The sequence below is a fragment of the Homo sapiens genome, chromosome 12, assembly GCF_000001405.40.
Source record: "Homo sapiens chromosome 12, GRCh38.p14 Primary Assembly".
Classification (NCBI taxonomy): Eukaryota; Metazoa; Chordata; class Mammalia; order Primates; family Hominidae; genus Homo; species Homo sapiens.
In genome coordinates this window covers 131,989,958-132,011,771 of record NC_000012.12, presented here as the reverse complement: position 1 = coordinate 132,011,771, position 21,814 = coordinate 131,989,958, and the positions used below count along the sequence as shown (strand labels likewise).

The 21,814-nt window shown below is 44.2% G+C and overlaps 1 protein-coding gene across 1 annotated transcript in view, besides 1 other annotated feature; it reads right to left on the bottom strand.

Moving 5' to 3' along the window:
• The window catches only part of EP400 (E1A binding protein p400), a 130,519-nt gene that overhangs the window by 68,689 nt on the left and 40,016 nt on the right, over positions 1–21,814 (bottom strand). The window contains exons 8-16 of the mRNA NM_015409.5: positions 21,668–21,808; positions 21,058–21,136; positions 20,316–20,365; positions 19,542–19,599; positions 16,816–16,905; positions 6,588–6,695; positions 5,470–5,660; positions 4,895–5,072; positions 138–274 (exon numbers count right to left, since the gene is read on the bottom strand). Coding sequence (NP_056224.3) covers positions 138–274; positions 4,895–5,072; positions 5,470–5,660; positions 6,588–6,695; positions 16,816–16,905; positions 19,542–19,599; positions 20,316–20,365; positions 21,058–21,136; positions 21,668–21,808 — 1,032 coding nt within the window. The remainder of the gene's footprint in view (positions 1–137; positions 275–4,894; positions 5,073–5,469; positions 5,661–6,587; positions 6,696–16,815; positions 16,906–19,541; positions 19,600–20,315; positions 20,366–21,057; positions 21,137–21,667; positions 21,809–21,814) is intronic.
• Positions 4,779–5,978: an enhancer, noted in NCBI's record as "CDK7 strongly-dependent group 2 enhancer chr12:132490339-132491538 (GRCh37/hg19 assembly coordinates)". NCBI's record gives its function as "activates an origin of replication core promoter dependent on BRD2, BRD4, P300/CBP, MED14 and CDK7 cofactors, with strong dependence on CDK7, by STARR-seq in HCT116 cells {active_cell/tissue: HCT116}" and the evidence as "EXISTENCE:reporter gene assay evidence [ECO:0000049][PMID:35650434]".

Sequence of the window (21,814 nt, the reverse complement as noted above, 5' to 3'; positions counted from 1 at the left end):
AAAGGTCTGTTAACTCATGAATGAGTGATCTTTAATAATTCCATGAATAAGCATGTCTTCACATTTTTTAATGTGTCTTTTATAAAAATTAACATGGCTTTCTGTTTAGCTTTATTTTATGTTTAAAAAAAAAATACCTGTCTCTTTGCTTTGAGTTCTCTGTGGCTGCCAATATATGAGAGGATTTTGAGTCCGGGACACCAACGTTTCAATTCAAGCTCCCACTTGAGTATGTTACAACTTCTCACAACAACAAGATGGGGGCCCCAATTACCTACAAAGCAAAAAACAGAATTTTCCACGTCAAAGTATCTGTCATGTCCAGGCACCTAGCACTGTGTCTGACCAGAGACGCTTCATCAGTATGAGTATGTGTCACATGAGCCATCGCACGACTGAGGCAGACTTGGGGGGGAACAAGTGCATTCATCTGGAGCCAGCACACTGCCCAGAAGCTGCTCCTTGGCCCCCAGGGCGCTGCTGCACAAGCACCAAGCCTGCACCAGAGGAGGCCTTAGTAGACACACATTGAACGAGCAGTCCCAAGAAGACACTAGTGTTCATTCAAACCACAGAAAACCCCTCCAAGATCCCAGGGGAAACGAGTAACACTCAGAAAGTGGACTCACAGACTAAGAGAGCCCCAGACCCTGCTCAAGTCCTTCCCACAAGCCAGGCACCCACACAGCAGGCGTCTAAACTGTGTTTTGTTAGCCAAGGGCTTGTGTCCATCGCTGCTTCCCAAGCTTTAGTCAGGGCACATCCAAACCATCCTAAAATATGTTGTTTCAAATTTCATTCTTCAGAAAACTAAGATTTTGTTTTTTTTAAGATGGAGTGTTGCTCTTGTCACCCAGGCTGGAGTCCAACGGCACAATCTCGGCTCACTGCAACCTCTGCCTCCCAGGTTCAAGCGATTCTCCTGCCTCAGCCTCCTGTGTAGCTGGGATTACAGGCACACGCCATCATGCCCAGCTAATTTTTGTATTTTTAGTAGAGACGGGGTGTCACCATGTTGGCCAGGCTGGTCTCAAACTCCTGACCTCAGGTGACCCGCCTACCTCGGCCTCCCAACGTGCTGGGATTAGAGGCATGAGCCACCAAGCCTGGCGAGAAAACTAAGGTTTTTAAAGATTATTAGAGGAATACATACAAATTTCAACTTCTGTGCTATAAATGTAACATAAACCAAGTTACAAGACAGACTTAGCAGACTTTAAACAAATATTTACAACACATCCATCTATGGCCATTACTGCTAATATGCAAAGCATTCCTGCTGATCCTGGAAAAGAACCACCCAATAGAAAATAAACAAAGGATATGAACAGAAATGTCACAAAGAAAAAAATATAACAGGACAATAAACTCTTTAAAAGACACAACCGGCTGCATGCAGTGGCTCACACCTGTAATCACAACACTTTCAGAGGCTGAGGGAGGCAGATCAGGAGGTCAGGAGTTCAAGACCGGCCTGACCAATATGGTGAAACCCTGTCTCTACTAAAAATACAAAAATTAGCTGGGCGTGGTGGCGTGTGCCTGTAATCCCAGCTACTCAGGAGGCTGAGGAAGGAGAATCACTTGAACCCGGAGGCAGAGGTTGCAGTGAGCTGAGATCACGCCACTGCAATCCATCCAGCCTGGGCAACAGAGCAAAACTCCGTCTCAAAAAAAAAAAAAAAAGACACAACCTCAGAGTAGGTAAACACAAATCAAATCCAGATGATATTTTAACACCCAGTGAAAAACAAGATTTAAAAAATAAATAAATAAAAAAGAAAAGCTGGCTAGGCACGGTGGCTCACAGCTGTAATCTCTCTAATCCCAGCACTTTGGGAAGCCAAGGCAGGAGGATCTTTTGAGGCCAGGAGTTCGAGATCAGCCAGGGTAACATAGTAAGACCTCATCTCTCCAAAAAAAAAAAAAAAAAAAAAAAAATTAGCCAGGCGTGGTGGCATACACCTGTATTCCCAGCTATTTGGGAAGCTGAGGCAGGAGGGTTGATCACTGGAGCCCAGGAGGCTGAGGCTGCAGTGAGCCATGATCACACCACTGCTCTCTAGCCTGAGCAGACACCTGTACCAACACCTGCACTGATGCAGACCACACACTAAGGCAAAGCCACATCAGCTCCCAGGGCCTGATAGGCCTCTATCGTGGCTGACCGCAATCTTTCTGTTGTCATCCCCCACCGTCCCCTCACACCCTCTTACCCTCTCACCCTCACACTGGCCTCGGTGCTGTTCCTGGACACCAGCTGCACTTGCAGCCCCCACCCCCACTGCCCCATCTCCCTGAGACCTTGCTCCAGCTGGCCAGGCTCCTGTCACTATGCTGGGTCATTAGCCCATTTCAAGGTTCATCTGTACCAGTGTGGGGTTCCTGAAAGCAGGGCTGCAACCTCAGGACCTAGAAAAGTGCCTGGGGTCTGTGACAGTCATCAGGTAAGGAGCAGATGAATGAACGCTGACTGATTCACTCATCTGTTCAACTGACAAAACACAATCCCCTAGTTTTAGAAGCATAGGCTACTTCCAGGCTGGGCACGATGGCTCATGCCTGTAATCCCACCACTTTGGGCAGCCAAGGCAGGCAGATCTCTTGAGCCCAGGAGTTCAAGACCAACCTGGCAACATGGCAAAACCCTATCTCTGCCAAAAATATAAAACTTAGCCAGTTTTTTGTTCAGTTACAGTGATCCTCCCACCTCAGCCTCCTAAGTAGCTCCTTAGGAGGCTGAGGTGGGAGGATCACTTGCACCTGGGAAGTCAGGGCTGTAGTGAGCCCTGATCATGCCACTGCACTCCAACCTGGGCAACAGCTCCTAAAAAAAAAAAAAAAAAAAAAAAGGCTGGGCACGGTGTCTCACGCCTGTAATCCCAGCACTTTGGGAGGCTGAGGTGGGTGGATCACTTGAGCTCAGGAGTTCCAGACCAGCCTGGGCAACATAATGAAACCCTGTCTCTACCAAAAATACAAAAAAATTAGCCAGGCATAGTGACAAGCGTCTGTAGTCCCAGCTACTTGGGAGGCTGAGGCAGGAGGATCGCCTTGATCCTCCTGCCCAGGAGGCCTCAAGCGATCCTCTTGAGCCCAGGAGACGGAACGTGCAGTGAGCCAAGGGTGCACCAGTGCACTCTGGCCTGGGTGAAAGAGCAAGACTCTGTCTCAAAAAAAAAAAAAATGTATAGGCTACTTCCAATATTTTACTATTGTAACAGTGAACACTCTTTTAACCCAAATAATAAAGTAGCAAGGCAAGGTAGCTTTTCCATCTTGAATTAACTATGCATATGAATGTATGCTATAGCACTACATCTAAACTGTGTGACACGGGCCAAAGACAGAAACAAATAATGGAAGAAAATATGAAGCTCAGAAGTTGATCTGCTTATGCTTAAAAACTTATCATGAGATGCACCGAGTTTTTCAAAACAGAAGGCAAGGAAGACGTATTCAACAACAGTGCTGTGGCAAACTATGCAAACAGCTTAGAAGGGAACTGTTAAGAAGAACCCTCAGGCCGGGTGCGGTGGCTCACGCCTGTAATCCCAGCATTTTGGAAGGTCAAGGCAGGCGGATCACCTGAGGTTGGGAGTTCGAGACCAGCCTGACCAACATGGAGAAACCCCATCTCTACTAAAAATACAAAATTAGCTGGGTGTGGTGGCGCATGCCTATAATCCCAGCTACTTGGGAGGCTGAGGCTGGAGAATCGCTTGAACCCAGGAGGCGGAGGTTGCAGTGAGCCAAGATCGTGCCATTACACCTCCAGCCTGGGCAACAAGAGTGAAACTCCATCTCAAAAAAAAAAAGAACCCTCGCTGGAGGTGAAGGGACCCTCAGCCCTGCCTCTCTCTCCTTAAGCTACTTGGACTGAGACCCCCACCACAAGCCCACTGTGTTCCATTTCTTTCCACACAGCCTTCAGTCAGAGCACCCATGGGGTCATCGCTTCCCTAAGCTGACCCTCCTAATTTAAACGTGTCCAGCTTTACGTTCAAAGCTCAAATGTAAAGACAAGGCCAAATCCCCTCTTCTCTGCAGCAATAGCAAAGCCTACTTTAAGTCTGGAACATATAGTGGGAACCACATTCCAAGATGTTTACTGAACACTTCTCTTACAAGAGCAAGAACAGTGAAACCTTGTCCTGTGTTAGAGACACAAGTCACACCTTCCTCTGCAGCTAGGCACAGAGCAGGAGACTAGGGTGGGCACTTGACCCAAAAGCCAAGAGAGGAAGGGGAGTGAACAAGGAGCTGACTCTAAAGACTGGAAAGGAGGCCAGAGGGCCTACACAAGCTGTGTACCAGCTAGAAGTGTCAGGAGGGTGAAGAGCCAGTTGGGGCTGCCATGCAGAGACTGAGCCCACACAGTGTACCCAGGCCCATTCCCTAAGGAACCTGAGCAGTGGATCAGAAACGCTGCCCCATTGACAGGTGAAATCCAGCAAGAGGGACGAGAGGAGGCATGGACATGATAACATGAAAAGGATACAGTGAGCCAAGATGCATGCCACAAACCACCCCACACGGCTGAGAGCCCAACGGCGGGTTCATGCCAGTCTAGAAGCAGCATGGGAAGTGGACCACCTGCTCTGCTGCCCACACACTGCACAGTGACCTGACCCTGGAGTCACAAGGTTCAGTCATAGCCTGACGAGTCTCTGTATTTTATTAGATTTTCACTAATTGTTACTGGATGTTAACTGTGAACCAGTTTTTTATTCATTCATAAAATGAATACTTCTGAGCCTCAATTTGCTCAGGTCAACAGATAGGAGCAAAGAAGTAGATAAGATAGCCAAGTCCCCACACTCCCATCAAACACACTGGCCTATAGGTAAGTCCTAGCAAATAGGTATTGTTAAAAAAACTAGCAAACTCTTACCTTCGTTACAAGCTAGGTGGGCAAAAAAAGCAATGATCTGCACTGTTTTACCCAGCCCAGCTTCATCTGCCAATATGCCATTGAGATTCTTCCTGTAAAGTTTGGCCAGCCAGTCCAGGCCAATCTTCTGATAATCTCTGAGAGCCCCATACAACAAAGATGGAGCATTAAACTTGACCTGCAGTGATGAACAAATAAAAGAATGACAGCTCGTCAAAATAATCACCCAAACTTTTTCTCAAAACTGAAATCAACAGTCACATGATAAACCAATTAGAAAGCCACAAAAATGATCTACAGAAAACAGGAAGAGGAAGAATTGCTTCTTTTGGAGATCGAGTCTCGCTAGGTCACCCAAGCTGGTCTTGAACGCCTGAACATCTGGCCTTAAGCAATCCTCTTGCCTCACCCTCCTGAGTAGCTGGGACTACAGGCACATGAAGAATTGCTTTTTCTGACAACTCTGCAGTTGGGATAGACCATTTCACTGGGAAGAGGAAAAGCTTTTCTCATGGCTAAGCTATGTGCTCTGTCTCTCAAAGGCCCATCCCACACTTGAAAGCTTAGCGCCTCACCGAGGTTGTGACCCGAGCACTGCCCTTCGGCAGGATGGCTTCAGCCACCGCAGTGACGTCCGCAATGTCCTTGGCGTTTGGCTTCCCGATATTCATCCTCTCGGCAGCTTTGAACTGATCCATGATGAAAAGCGAGTCGATGAGAACCAAGTCCTTGCGACTCTCCCTGTCGCCTGGACAGTCATCTGCATCTGTAACGACAATAAAACAGAGAAGTGAGGGCCACTGAGAAGGCTTTATAAATCTAAACCTTTTTTTAAAACAGGAAAAAGTTTATAGAATCCAACTACTTTAAATACTGAATTAGGCAATAATTTTTTATTTGTAATCCAAAATATCTAACAATGCTACCTGGATAAATGGGAGAGAACTCTCATGAAACTATCAAACCAAGGACCATTCTGGAAAGCCCTCCAAGAGTATAATTTGCCCCAAATAGTCTGGCATTTTGGAAAATGTCTCCATAGCAATTAGGAGCTGGTATCACAGAGAGATACATGTAGGTGTCTCAGGGTTTAGGGATCTCCCGTCTATCACCAAGAAAGAAAAAAGCAGAACCCTTTCCCAAATGTGGGAAACCGGGAGGAGACCAAACCCGCCACTCCTTCCTCTGGTCCTGCTGGCAGCGTGGGGTCTGGTAAGGCCTGACCTCCCCAAGGCTCCTGTGGGCCACTCCCCAACTCGCATGCAGGTGTCTAACTGTCCCAACAACTGGAATGAGAGCAGGAAAGGCAGACCTTTTCTGGTATGCTCTGTGCATCTGTTTAGAAAGTCTAATACCAAGTAAAATAAACTACTCAAAACTGGTGTGTTGAACAAACACAGCACAGCCTGAATAAATATATCTAGGTCCATAAAACAATGATGTTTATAAATCTAGAGAAAAATATTTTTACATCCTTCACAACATGATCAAGTGCCCCGATAACTGTGCCAGGTTAATAAATTAAAAGCACGGAATTTAATAAAATTCTATTCAATATAAAGATACTTATTAAATATTTCTAATTTTTTATTTTATCAAACTAAAAGAAATTTTCTAAATCTTATTTTAAGTCTTTGTAAGTACTCCGGCTTCTGCTTTTAACCCTGAATTCTTCCAAAGGCTGGGAGCGCACCTTCCTCTCCGCTTGTGTCCTCCCCATCAGGCTTCGGCCGGGGCCACTGAGAACTCGGCAGGAAGGCGCCTTCGTACAGCTTCATCAGGTCCAGGAGGGGCAGCTCAGCTGCAGAGGGTTGCGGGCAGAAGGGCTGTTACTTTATAACAACAACTGTAATTTAAATTGGGAAGGAGCAGCAGCCAGGAGAACCACGGTAAGAAGGGCAAGGGGCTCCCTCTCACATGTATTCCTTTTTCCAGCTTTAGATCACTCCTTGGAAAAAGATTATATTGTCTAAAAGCACACTTGTTTTTTCTAAAAACTAAAATGGTTGCCCATTACTGATAAAAGGTGTAAAATATTTTGTTGGGGGATGCAAGGGGAATGATGAGAAATTACTTAGTAGGTGCAACACACATTTGGGTCATGACATACCAGAGACCCAGACTTCACCACTACACAGTACAGCCAGGAAACAGCACTGTACTTGCACCCCTGAAATTTATGCAAATTTTTAAAAGTATAAAATATTTTCTCTATAAAGATGAGAATCTTTGAAAGAAACTCAATTGTATTCACAAAAGATTTAAAATATCTGAAATAATCTAAATGAACAGTAACAGTATAGACTAATAAATAAAAATGTAAAAAGTGAACACCATTGATAGGAAATAACTGATGAAGATGATATATAAAAATACAAAATATCAAATGAAGAAACAAAAAGCAAAAATGTTAAAAAGTATAATAAAACATAATTAAGCTTTTTTTATAAAACACTCACCCTAATTGCTTAAAAAAAAATACCACACATTAATTAAATCCCCAATAACAGTGGGCAAAGGATATGAAGCTGTTACATACATAAAAGTGTAAAGGGCAATAAAATGTTTTTTCATTAATCATCCCTGGAAATCAGTGCACAATTTGTTAAGTACCAAATTATCAACCACCTTAAAATCATAACACTGGGAAATTATTATGAATTAGATACTCCCACATGCTGCTGATAATGGCATAAACTGGCTGGATTTTTCTGGAAATCAACACGGAAAGCTGAAGGGCTTTGGAATCCAATGCCCTCAACCTCATCATTTCCCCTTTTAGTGAGTCTATCCAGAGGAATGACAGAAATGTGAACCCAGATTTCTGTTCAAAGAATGTTCACACAGTGGTAGATCTAACAGGGGAAAACCCTTTAGTTGGGCTGTGTACTTGTGATATGTGAGCTTGTTTGCATCTGTATTTTATGTCAAAGACTGTTGAGCCAAAACAACAAATGCCATGGACAAGCACCCTACAAGGACCATGTTAAAGGCACTGTCCACTTGGGACTAGCAAAACACTTTTTGAATTCATTTGCTCAGGATGTTAAATATTTGCCACACTGGCTTGATGGACATAGACCTAATGGAGCCCAGTGAAAGTAAGTGTTGGCTGTGGAATTCAGGTGGTGTGTCCATGATGTTCCTAACAAGGTTCTTCACCTTTCCTGTCTGTCTGATGCTTCCAGAGCGAAATGCTGGGATGCACCACTACAGCATATGATGCTATATGTAAGTAGGAAAAACAAGCCAAACCACTGGAAACTTCCAGTAAGAAGATAATTCTGTAAGGTGTCTCAGAACAAACAATACACAGAAATCAGCCTCCACATATGGAAATGAGTTAGAAAATGAAATCGAAGAAAAAAAAACCTGTTTAGACAGAAAATTAAATACAGTCGTCCCTCAGTATCCCTGAGAAGGTGGTTCCAAGGCCCCTTTCGATACCAAAATCCAAGGATGCTCAAGTCCCTTATATAAAGTAATGTATATTTGCACGTAACCTATACACATCCTCTCATATATTTTAAATAATCTCTAGGTTACTTATAATACCTAATACAATGTGAATGCTATGTAAATAGTTGTTACACATTTTTTTGGTATCTTTTTTGTAATTGTTGTACTGTTATTTTGGCTTATTTGGTTTGGGGGGTTTTTTTGGTTGGCTGTTTTTTTTTTTTTTAATATTTCTTTTAGAGATGGGGTCTTGCTATGTTGCCCAGGCTGAACTTGAACTCCTGGGCTCAAGTGACCATCCTGCCTCAGTCTCCCAAGCAGCCAGGATTACAGGTGTGAGCCACCACACCCAGCTGTGTTCTTATTTTTTACTGTTTTGCTTTGTTTTGTTTTTGGTAAATATTTTCTATCTGTAGTTGATCAAATTCATGGATTTGAAACCCATGGACATGAAGAGCTAAATATACTTAGAATTAAACTTTCAAAAATTCCACATCTCTGTGAAGAAAGCTCTAAGAGGTTCCTGAAGACCATGAAGAAGCCTTGACCCAATGAGAGGCTCTGCTCATGGATTCAGCTCGACACCATAAAGACAATGGGATCCCCAGGAACCCACCTCCTGGTGTTCACTCCTGGTCTCTCCCACACTGACCTGGCCTGACCGGTGTGACCACCATATGTGAGAATGACCGTAGGTGACTTCCAAGACTCAGCTACAAAAGATACTACAGTGTCTATCCTGCTCCCTCATGGATATTTGCTCTCGGACACCAGCCCCAGGTCAGGAGGACACTCAGCCTGCCCTCAGCATGCAACCAGAGCCCATCAGCTGGCAGAATGAACCAGCCTGGAATGGCATCCTCCAGCCTGCTACATCAAGCCTTCTGAAAACCATCTTCACAGGAGACCTGTGCCACAACCACCCAGCAAGGCTGCTCCCAAACTCTGCCCCACAGAGTATACAGCGCTAATTTAATAGGATATCTAGTAAGTCAAGAATGCGCACCATAATCAGATAGCCCCTACAACAAGAATACAGAAAGCTAACAGAGAAGAGGAAATGAAATAATTTGTAAATACTTGCCTGATGCTTTAACCATAAAGAGATTGACTAAAGAACAGGTGAGAAAATACAAGATAAATTTTAAAATTAGGATAGATCTAGGCCCAATTATTAATAGAACAGGCTTAAATTTAATACAAATGTACTAAACACTCCAATTTAGAGACATAGGGACATTAGAATAAACTGTAGGGCAGAGAAGACCAACTATATGCTGTTTACAAGAGACATGCTTTACAAAAGAACACAGATCAGAAGTTAACAGAAACTCTCTCTAGAGGAAACTCCTTCACTGTCAGGCCTAAAGTAACTTCCACAATGAAGTTCCAATATGTGGGCGGCAAGCCATCCAGGTGCCGAGGCAAGAGACCGAGGGCACGAGCTGTTCCAGTGTAATAAAATATATAAAACAACAAGAGTTATACTAGATCTAGATCATAGACATGATTATATACGAATATCATTAATCACTAGTTTGTAGCAATTACTCTTTATTCCAATATTATAATAATCCTCGCTCTATAATCATAACCTAGGAAAAGCCAGCCCATACAGAGATAGGAGCTGAGGAGACATAGTGAGGAGTGACCAGAAGACAAGAGTGCGAGCCTTCTGTTATGCCCGGACAGGGCCACCAGAGGGCTCCTGGGTCTAGCGGTAACGCCAGGATCTGGGAAGACGCCTGTTGTAGCCTCAGTGTCAAGGAAAAACACCTGCTACTTAGCGGACCGGGAAAGGGAGTCTCCCTTTCCTTGTGGGGAGTTTAGAGAAGACTCTACTCCTCCACCTCTTGTGGAGGCCCTGACATCAGTCAGGCCCACGCACAGTTATCCGGAGGCCTAACCGTCTCCCTGTGATGCTGTGCTTCAGTGGTCACACTCCTAGTCTGCTTTCATGTTCCATCCTGTACACGTGGCTCTGCCTTTTAGATAACAGTAGCAAAATTAGTGAAAGTACTAAAAGTCTCTGATATGCAGAAATAATGGCGTAAGCTGTCTCTCTCTCTCTGCCTCGGCTGCCAGGCAGGGGAGGGCCCCCTGTCCAGTGGACACGTAACCCACGTGACCCTACCTATCATTGGAGATGACTCACACTATTTACCCTGCCCCTTTTGCTTTGTATCCAATAAATAATAGCGCAGCCAGACATTCGGGGCCACTACCAGTCTCCGCGTCTTGGTGGGAGTGGTCCCCTGGGCCCAGCTGTCTTTTCTTTTATCTCTTTGTCTCGTGTCTTTATTTCCACAATCTCTCGTCTCCACACACGGTGGGAAGAAACCCACCGACCCTGTGGGGCTGGTCCCTACACCAATAAATTGTCAAAAATCACAAAGTACGCTAGGAAACAATGTACCATCAGCAGAAACCAGGATTCATAAACGACAGCAGAATCAGACCTGCAAAAACATCACCCATGCAATTATTAGGCAGAGATTATAAAATTTCATATTTGAAGAAATAAAAGAGATGACTGAAAGTCTGAATACAGAGCAAGAGATAATTTTAAAATTTCATGTAGGTTTTCTAAAAAACCATTGGGAATGTCTTAAAACAAACTGGTAACTGGAATTTAACACTTAATCAATGGGTTAACAAAAGACTAGGAAGAGCTTAAAAGAGAATTCATAAAATAGAACACAGATGTGATAAAATTATCTAGAATCAAGTAAAACTGATGACGTAATAGGATAACAATTCTAAACCTATATATGCACATACTAACATAGTCTCAAAATACATAAAATGAAAACTGACAGAAACTTAAGGAGAAATAGGTACTCATTATCATAATGGAACATTTTAACATACTTCTCTCAGTAATTGATAGAGCAAGAAGACAAAAATCAGTAAGGATAAGAACTGGATAATGCAATCAACAAGTTCTACCTGGTGGACTGAGAGAGAGAATTGTACCATAACCTGATGAATGCATGTTGTTTTAAAGCATGTATGGAATGTTTATAAACTGGTCCATTCAAAACCTACCTCAACAAAATCCAGGTCAGTGAGAATCCCATACATCTTCTGTCTGATCAAAATGCAATTAATGTAGAATAATAATAAAAATATATATTGAAAACCCTGTATTGTTTGGAAATTAAGAAACATCCTTCTAAATAACTCATGGGTCAATAAAATATATATACAGGGGAAATCAGAAAATATTTAAAACTGAATAATAAATATGATATTCAGCTAAAGCAGTATTACGGAAAAATTCAGACCCTTAAATGTTTATATTAATGAGCTGATGAAAATTAGGAAGCTAGTCATCCAAGTTAAAAACTCAGAAAAAGATGTTTTTAAAAAAGAAATACTACGAGCAGAAACAAAACAGAAAACAATATACAGGCGCCAGATTAAAAAAAAAAAAAAAGAATCTGACAAACTTTTGACAAGACTATCAAGAAAACAGGCATAAATACACAGTATTAGGAGAAAGAAGGGACATACATACAAACACAGCCAAGATCGGAAACACTGTAAGGAGAAATTATTGACAATGTATGCCAATAAATTTTAAAATGTAGATGAAATAAAGAAATTCCTAGAAAATTTGACTATCATAATTGACTATGAAGAAAAGAAAAAGTCATATTCCTCAATTTAATGTATGAGGGCCAGGCACGGTGGCTCAGCCTGTAACCCCAGCACTTTGGGAGGCTCAGGTGGGCAGATCACCTGAGGTCAGGAGTTGGAGACCAGCCTGGGCAACACGGTAAAACCCTATCTCTACTAAAAATATAAAAAATAGCCAGGCATGGTGGCTGGTGCCTATAATCCCAGCTACTCAGGAGGCTGAGGCAGGAGAATCGCTTGAACCCAGGAGGCGGAGGTTGCAGTGAGCTGAGATCGTGCCACTGCACTCCAGCCTGGGCGACAGAGCAAGACTGTCAAAACAAACAAACAAAGCATGCAATACCCACCTACAACATAAACACTGAAGAATAGATACAAACTTCACTAATCTTATAAAAATATCTACAAGAACCCTATACACTATGTCCATTTATGAAACATTAAAGGTATCATCATAGTCATCCTGAGAGCAGCAGTGAAGAGCACACCGTAGGACACGTCAGGCCAAGGCTTCCACGCACTGCAAATCCTCAGAAGAACACTGGTTATCCCATTTACAACTGAGAAAAACACCACGGAGAGCTCAGACAACCTGACCGAGGCCGTGGGGTCAGTAGGCAACAAACATTAGGTTTGAACCATGCAGTTATGACTCAAAACTCTAATAATCTGCCTTTCTACTGAAAGTGCTCTCTTTCAAAGCAAGAACAAGCCAATGTTGTCCACCACTAGCACGAACTCAACACTTTACTGAAAGTCCTACCTAGCACAAAACGGCAAGAAAAAGTAGTATAAAAGGAACAAGGATTATAAAGGAAAAACTCTTCAGAGAAGTATACAAAGACTTTGTATACAAGACTGTATACAAAGACTTTGTATACAAGACTGTATACAAAGTCTTTGTATACAAGACTGTATACAAAGTCTTTGTATACAAGACTGTATACAAAGTCTTTGTATACAAGACTGTATACAAAGTCTTTGTATACAAGACTGTATACAAAGTCTTTGTATACAAGACTGTATACAAAGTCTTTGTATACAAGACTGTATACAAAGTCTTTGTATACAAGACTGTATACAAAGTCTTTGTATACAAGACTGTATACAAAGTCTTTGTATACAAGACTGTATACAAAGAATTAACAAACAGAGTTCAGAAAAGTTGCTGAGTATAAGAGAAATAAAATCAACTGTACTGACACATACCAGCAATATATTTAAAATATAATTTTAGAAAATATACCATTTAGCACAACTTTTAAAAATATATAGTACCTAGAATTAAATCTAACAAAAGAGACACAATCATGAAATTTTATGGAAAGCTATTTAGGAAGACCTAAGTGAAGGGGAGAACTATATTTTGATCATAGACTGGAAAGGCTGAACTTCATAAAGACAGCAATTCTCACAAAACATCCATTAATGCAATTAAATTCTAATCAAAACTCCCAATAGGTTTTTCTGTGAAACTTGATGAGCTGATTCTAGCATGTTTCTGAAATAGTCCCCAAATAGACAAGATCCTCCTAACACAGAGCAAGGCAGAAGAACTTACCTAACCAGACATCAAGAACTATTATAAAGCTATAGTAAGAAAGACAGTGTGGTATCAGTACAGACTGGTACAAATTTGCCAATAAAAGAATAAAGATCCCAGAAAGAGCCATGCATAGAAGGAAACCTGTTTTACGTCTGAGCTGGCACTTAAGATCAGTGGGGAAAAGATAGGCTTTTCAATATGGCTTTCCAAATATGCATTTTGGGGAAAAAAAGGAAACTGCACTCATTTCACAACCTAAGAGTAAAAGCAGAAAAATTTTAGATGATATATCTTTGTGAACAAGATTGACAAATTCAACTACAGTAAGTCCTCACTAAACATCATCAATAGGTTGGTTCTTAGAAATTGTAACTTTGAGCAAAATGACGTATAGCTGATCGGTGGACAACTTGGGTTGGAACTGTGAGGGTCCTCTTCCATGCAGATTTTATCCACAGCAGGACCAACCCCTTCCCCTCCCCCTCCCCCACTCCCTCCTCATCCTACTCAACGTGAAGATGACGAGGATGAAGACCTTTATAATTATTCGCTTCCACTTAATAAATAGTAAATGTATTTTCTCTTCCTTATTTTTTAACAACATTTTCTTTTCTCCAGCTTACTTTGTTGTAAGAATACAGTACGTAATATTAAATACACATAACATACAAAATAGGCCAGGCACGATGGCTCACACCTGTAAACCCAGCACTTTGTGAAGCCAAGATGGGAGGCTCGCTTGAGCCCAGGAGTTTGAGACTAGCCTGAAATCCCGTATCTACAAAAAACACAAAAATCAGCTGGGCGTGGTAGCGCGCACTATAGTCCCAGCTACTTGGGAGCCTGAGGTGGAAGGATCGTCTGAGCCCAAGAAGTCAAGGCTGCAATGAGCTGTGATCCGCCACTCACTCCAGCCTAGGTGTCAGAGTGAGACTCTGTCTCAAAAAAAAAAAAAGAAAAAGAAAAAAACCACATAAAATATGTGTTCATCGACTGTTTCATGTTATTGATAAGGCTTCCAGTCAACAGTAGGCTATTAGTAAGTTTTGAAGGAGTCAAAAGCTATATGCAAATTTTCAACAGTGCAGGTGGTGGGGGCGGGTTGGCACTCCTAATCCCCACATTGTTCAAGGGTCAACTGTATAACAAAACCAATTTTTTTTTCCTCATGGCTATAATAAAACAACATTAATGTAACGTCATTTCACTTAAAGTTGCAGTTTCCAGGAACTTATTGACAACATTAAATGAGGACTTGCTGTATGCTGAAATTAAGAACGCCTTTCATCGAAAGGTACTGCAAAGAGTGAAAAGACACACCACCAACTGGGAAAATGTCACTGCAACACAGAACTGACCAAGAATTCATGTCCAGAATATATAAAGACCATCACCAACAAGTCAATAAGGAAAGAAAACACCAAAATAAGCCAAAATGAACAAAGGAAGAAACACGAAAAGATGCTTCACTTCATCAGTTATCACAAAAGTGCAAATTAAAGCCACAAGGAGATACTACTTTTTACCCCCAGAGTGGCAGACAATATCAAGAGTTCTTGAGATGTGTTACAGCAATTAAAGAATGGCAATAAAACTAAAGATATATATATGTAATTGTTTTTAAAAAGAGTTCCTTCTTAGGCTGGGCGCGGTGGCTCAAGCCTGTAATCCCAGCACTTCGGGAGGCTGAGGCGGGTGGATCATGAGGTCAGGAGATGCAGAACATCCTGGCTAACATGGTGAAACCCCATCTCTACTAAAAATACAAAAAATTAGCCGGGCGTGGTGGCGGGCGGCTGTAGTCCCAGCTACTCAGGAGGCTGAGGCAGGAGAATGGCGTAAACCCAGGAGGCAGAGCTTGCAGTGAGCCGAGATCACGCCACTGCACTCCAGCCTGGGTGACAGCGAGACTCCATCTCAAAAAAAAAAAAAAAAGAGTTCCTTCCTGAGATGTGGAGCTTGGCACCCCCACTCTAAACAACAGTTACTCTCCTGCCCCTGAGCACAGGCAAGCCACTCATGCACACGTGCCTGGGGAATAGGAGAATGCTCACAGCAAACACAGGGAACCAGGTGAATGGCCACCAACAGCACAAAAAAGAGTCGGTCACATATTTACAAAAAGAATACTGCCTGGCAAAGACACTGATAGCAACACCTAACACTGTGGCTGAAACTCAGGACATCCAGGCTGAGTAGAGAGAGCAAGCCCATCAAACTGTGGTGGATTCGTTCGTATGAAGTTCTCACACACTCAGGATGAACGGTACATTCAGTCAAGCTGTGGTGGGATTCGTTCGTATGAAGTTCTCACACACTCAGGATGAACGGTACATTCAGTCAAGCTGTGGTGGGATTCGTTCGTATGAAGTTCTCACACACTCAGGATGAACGGCACATTCAGTCAAGCTGCGGTGGGATTCGTTCACATGAAGTTCTCACACACTCAAGATGAACGGTACATTCAGTCAAGCTGTGGTGGGATTCGTTCACATGAAGTTCTCACACACTCAGGATGAACGGCACATTCAGTCAAGCTGTGGTGGATTCATTCACGTGAAGTTCTCACACACTCAGGATGAACGGCACATTCAGTCAAGCTGTGGTGGATTCATTCACGTGAAGTTCTCACACACTCAGGATGAACGGTACATTCAGTCAAGCTGTGGTGGGATTCATTCACATGAAGTTCTCACACACTCAAGATGAACGGTACATTCAGTCAAGCTGTGGTGGGATTCATTCACATGAAGTTCTCACACACTCAAGATGAACGGTACATTCAGTCAAGCTGTGGTGGATTCATTCACATGAAGTTCTCACACACTCAGGATGAACGGTACATTCAGTCAAGCTGTGGTGGGATTCGTTGGTATGAAGTTCTCACACACTCAAGATGAACGGTACATTCAGTCAAGCTGTGGTGGGATTCATTCACATGAAGTTCTCACACACTCAGGATGAACGGCACATTCAGTCAAGCTGTGGTGGATTCATTCATATGAAGTTCTCACACACTCAAGATGAACGGTACATTCAGGGAGACACACGCAGGTGGCAGGGAAGAAAGACAGTCAGGGCAGTGTCCGACACACAACCCAGGAGGGCCAGGACCTCCAGGTCAGGAGAGAGAGCAGCAGGAGGCACACAGGGACTGTTTTCCATAAAACAGGCACTGCTGCTGTTGTTACTCAATATATTATTATTCACATCTCACATGTTTTAAATGTTTCTTTTTACTTACTGAATGTTTAATAAGGTAGCAACAGCCTACCTTCCTTGGCTAAATTAGAAAGTTCTGTTTGGTGGTCCACAACGCCTTCATTTGCTTCCTCCTCTTCAATTGTTTCCTCTTCATCGTCCACTAAAATGGTTATCAGCAAGTGTCACTGAGAGGCAACACCACTTGAGTGTCTGTTACTCATTACACACTATAAGGCTTCGAAATTATTTTGCATAGCTATTACAGAAATTGAAACTGAGCTTTTAAACTTCTCAGGTTAAATTTAATTAAATGGGCAGGAAACTGGAAGTGTATTTCCCCTTCCACTTCAGGCTGTGAATGACAGCCCTGGTTTTTCCACACATGGCAGACCTTCTTCAGGCCAACATACGGAATGCTGTCAACCCTCCTACCTTCCTGCAGAGCCCCACTGTGGAAAGCCCACAGGCATGCCATCTGGGATCACCGTGAAGTCATCATCGCCCATCTCACGAGGCCCAGCCACATCAGCCTAACACTCTCCTTGACTCTCCTGTCCTCCACAATCACCAACCCAAGCCCACTCCGCTCTCTTCAGCCCTCCAGCCCTGAACCTCACGCCTCACTCGCCATAGAGATCTTGGCTCCTGGCAGAGAAAAGAGCAGCTACCAGCATCCCCACAGCCAAACTCCCTCTGTCCACGGACCCTCTCCCCACCTGGGGGCCTGCAGGGGGCCTGCACCATCTCTCCTCTCAGCTGGCTCTCAACTTTTCTTCTCTCACAATCTAACATAACATCTCTCCCTTCCTACCATCAAAACTCTTCCTCATTTCTTCACTACAAGACCCCCACTGCCCACCAAGAAGGCCTAGGCACCTGACCCCAACCACACAAGTCGCTGGGCCTCCAGGTGCTGCCTTTCCTGACTGTACTCGACACCCTGGTGGCTCACGACAGGCCTGGCCATCCCCTCCTCTTGGAAACGCCTTCTGCCATTCCTTCTGCCTTCTGATCACTTGGTTTCCAGGGTGGAATTTTGGAAAAGAAAAGTAAAGACGACCTCGGGTGGTTAATTTGGCCTTCTCTGAGTTACCCTAAGACATCTTTAGGCATTAAACAGAAGTCAAATAAAAGTCTGTTTCAATACAGTTGAGCACCACATAATGCCGTTTCTGCCAACAATGGACCGCATATGCAATGGGACCCTGTAAGACTGTAATACCGTATCTTTACATTACCTTTCCTGTGTCAAGATATGTTTACATGCACAAATACCACTATATTCCAATTACCCACAGGATTCAGGAGAGTCACCTGTGTGCAGGTTTGTAGCCGGAGGCACAGGCTGCACCATCTAGGTTTGGGTGAGTACTTTGTACGTTCACATAACAACAAAATTGTCCAGCAACGCATCTCTCAGAATATATCCCCGTTGTTAAGAAACACATGACTGTACACAAATGTGCTCCTGAGAATGTGAGAAAATAAGGAAAGCGGAGAGGTCAATCTACATAAAGCCGACCGCAGCTACCAGAGTGCAGGCCAGAGAAAAGGTGTTCCTCATGAAGAAATGACCTAATCCTTTCCAGGTAACAAGAAAGACACAAACCTACTGTACTCTGTTGTGCTTCTCTTGTTGTCTGAAAGGCCAGAGTTCAATCCATCCCCAGTGCAGGATGGTACTATCTAGAATTCAGCACCAGGCCAGGTGTGGTGGCTCACACCTGTAATCCTAGCACTTTGGGAGGCTGAGGCGGGTGGATTACCTGAGGTCAGGAGTTTGAGACCAGCCTGGCCAACATGGTGAAACCCCATCTCTACTAAAAATACAAAAATTAGCTGCGTAGTAGTCCGCACCTGTAGTCTCAGCTACTCAGGAGGCTGAGGCAAGAGAATCGCTTGGGAGGGGCCTGAAAATGCCACCACAATGCTGTGCCAGTCCTGGGCCATGTGCCCTCAGGCTCCTCACTCATCTGCCACACTGTTGTTTTGTTTCTGTCATACGCAGCAGAACTGAATACTGCCAGTTTCATGCCAACAATCTGGCCAAACTCCCTGTTGACTTCCAAATAAAAATCAACACATAGCAAAGATCAATCTTCAAAAATTTGGAAAAGTTAACACACTTCACCAAACCAAGCCAATAAAACCACACTGATGCTGATCAAAGAGCCGAAGGAGAAACTGCAGGCCTTACCTGGCACCTGACAGGAACCGCCACACAAACGCCCAAGAAAGTTTCTCCAACCTCTCTACTCCTGCTCCCCACTCTGTCTCTAAAAATCCAGTCTGCTCCTGAGGACTTCTGTACTCAATCCACATGGGTTTGGAAATAGGTCATGGCCGTGGGCTGTCCCCAGCTCACACACTGAGTGCTCAGGTATCTGTTCTCATCTGAACCAGGTTTCTCCAACATCTAAAATTCACATGAGTTTCTCCTGAAATCCCAATGGCTGGCAACCATGGGTCTACCAGAGGACATACCAGGGCCACCTCTCAAGGACAGAAACAGGCTTGGCCCTGTGCCACAGGAGCATGGGGCCCCAACACTCTCCAAGATGCACCCAAGTTTCCAAACCTCAAAAAGCAGATACGACCATGTTGCTCCAGAAAACATCCCAAGTCCTCTAGAGATACAAAAAGTACTCTATACACTGAGAGACATCTGGATAAATACAAAGGTTGAGCTTTCCAACCAGCTGAAGATGACAAGACTAAACCCCAAGTCGCTGCAGCTCTGTGTCATCTCATCAGCAGCCCTGGAGATGACAAAGATAGTGCTGAGGGGGAACAGACCTTCGTCATCAGTCAAAGATATGCTAGCTTTTCTTTTTCTTCCAGACATTCCTGAATCCTGAAAGAAAAGAAAGAAAAACCACAAGCATGAGATCCAAACACTCAGAATGGGAAACCAAGACAGCAGTGTCCATGGGACAGGTTGGGGGAGCCCCGGGGCAAGCCTGCTAGGCTGCCCTCAGCCTCCATTTGGGGTCGGGGCAGGGCAGCGGGGGAGCGAGGACATGATCAATGCTCACTGTGTTCAGCTGTCACTGCCAAATTAACACCCCACGTGAGACTAAGGCTATAAAGCACCAGTTTATTTTCAAAGTAGACTGAGTCTATAATGAAAGGGAGTAATAGGCGGGGCACGGTAGCTCACGCCTGTAATCCTAGCACTTTGGGAGGCCAAGGCGGACAGAATGCCTGAGCTCAGGAGTTTGAGACCAGCCTGGGCAACACGGTGAAACCCCATCTCTACTAAAATACAAAAAAAAAAAATTAGCCAGGTGTGGTGGCGTGCGCCTATAGTCCTAGCTACTCGGGAGGCTGAGGCAGGAGAATTGCTTGAACCTGGGAGGCAGAGGTTGCAGTGAGCTGAGATCGTGCCACTTCACTCCAGCCTGGGCGACAGAGCAAGACTCTGTCTCTAAAACAAAAAAAAAAAAAAAAGAAAAGAAAGGAAGTAATAGTCACAGCCTACAAATTCCTCTGGATAAGAATGAAAAGGCCCACTCTACTGGAGCTGCTTCTACTCCTTCTCACACAGCACAGTAACAACCCCAAACTTACCAGAGAACTTTCCTGTAATGCGTCAAATCCTTTAGGTCTCAATTCTTTCCCTAGAGAGACAAGGAGCACAGTTCGTTCCCAAGGCCCCCCATGCTTGGCGAGGGCGTCTCTGCTTTCCAGGCAGGGTCCTGCTGCCTCCACCCACGTGCAGGGAAAGGAAGGACGCGTGAGTTCTGCCTCCTCATCATCATCACGCAGGGCAGTGGTTTTTACTAACTTGTGGCTCTATGACTTTCAGCAGCAGCCACCTCTCAGCCTCGGGTTCCTCATCAATAATGGGGGAACACAATGCCCACCCTCCTGGGGGTGTCCTCAGAGGCAAAGGAAACAGTGAATGCTGCTGCCACTGGTGCCGTGCACATCCTAAGTGGAGTGGCACATAACGAGCGGAGGCAGCTGCCGAAGAAACATCAAAGGAAGGCGTCACCCAGCCAGGCACCCAAGGATCCTCCTGCATGGCAAACACCTCAGGAAGCTCCTCACTCACTGTCCAGGGACTGAACCCCAGTTCTGTGTCCCAGAGTTTATCAACTTGGGGGTGCTGACTCACACTAGCACATCTCAAAAGCACTGAAGCATAAAACTAGGATGGCCACACAAAGAGAAATGTAACAATCAGGCAGCTGGCTGATGAGCAGATGTCCTCTGTGGGAAGCCACAGCGCCAGGAGACTGCCTGCTGAGAAAAGAATCCGAACAAAATACCACCCAAGCGTGGTGAGCCTTTTTTTAAAGGGTCCTACCTCTCCTGGAAACTTTCTGTAAATTTAAGGCCTTCTTCCTTTTTTCTTCTAATTCTACTCGTAGTTTTATTTCCACAACCTAAATGCAAAGGATTAAATGAATAAGCACATTACTAAGGATGGGAATTACAGACGTTCTGCATACAAAACACTAAAGCACATAAGCAGAGTCTGAAAACAGTGTTTTCCAGCCTCGTCAGTTTGGTGCTTTTTCATTTATTTCATACTAACTACATCCTGCCCAGGTTCTATTAGGTGGTGAGGTAAGAATTAAAATTTCAAAAAAGGAAAGCAAGTGAGCGAGCGACCGCTCTAGAAGTAACCGTGGTGGTGACTCACGCTAACCCTGAAACAATGCCCAGAGCCCCTCCACGGCATGAAGCACCTCAGAGGGCAGCCACAGCTGAGGTGCATCCCCTGTGCAAGACAGACGGAGGCACGAGCAGCTCATTCAAAGGCCAACAAGCAACAGCCCAGGAGAGTGCACACGTTGCTGACTCTGGTGCTCGAAAGCTTCCTAAGCAAGGTGCCCGAGCTCTGGTCTCGGGAAGTGGCCTCACCAGCTCCGACAGACTGATTCTTACGACCCCATGACAACGGCAGCACTCGCCTGTTCAATATTCGACCAAAAGCACTCTATCTCCCGGGCCGTGGAGGCGGCTATCCGCCTCAGTCTGCTCTGCTCTTCCTTCTTCCCCCTTTCTTCACGGAGCTGCTTCTCCTCGTGATGGCGCACCACAGTTCTAACGAGCTGGTG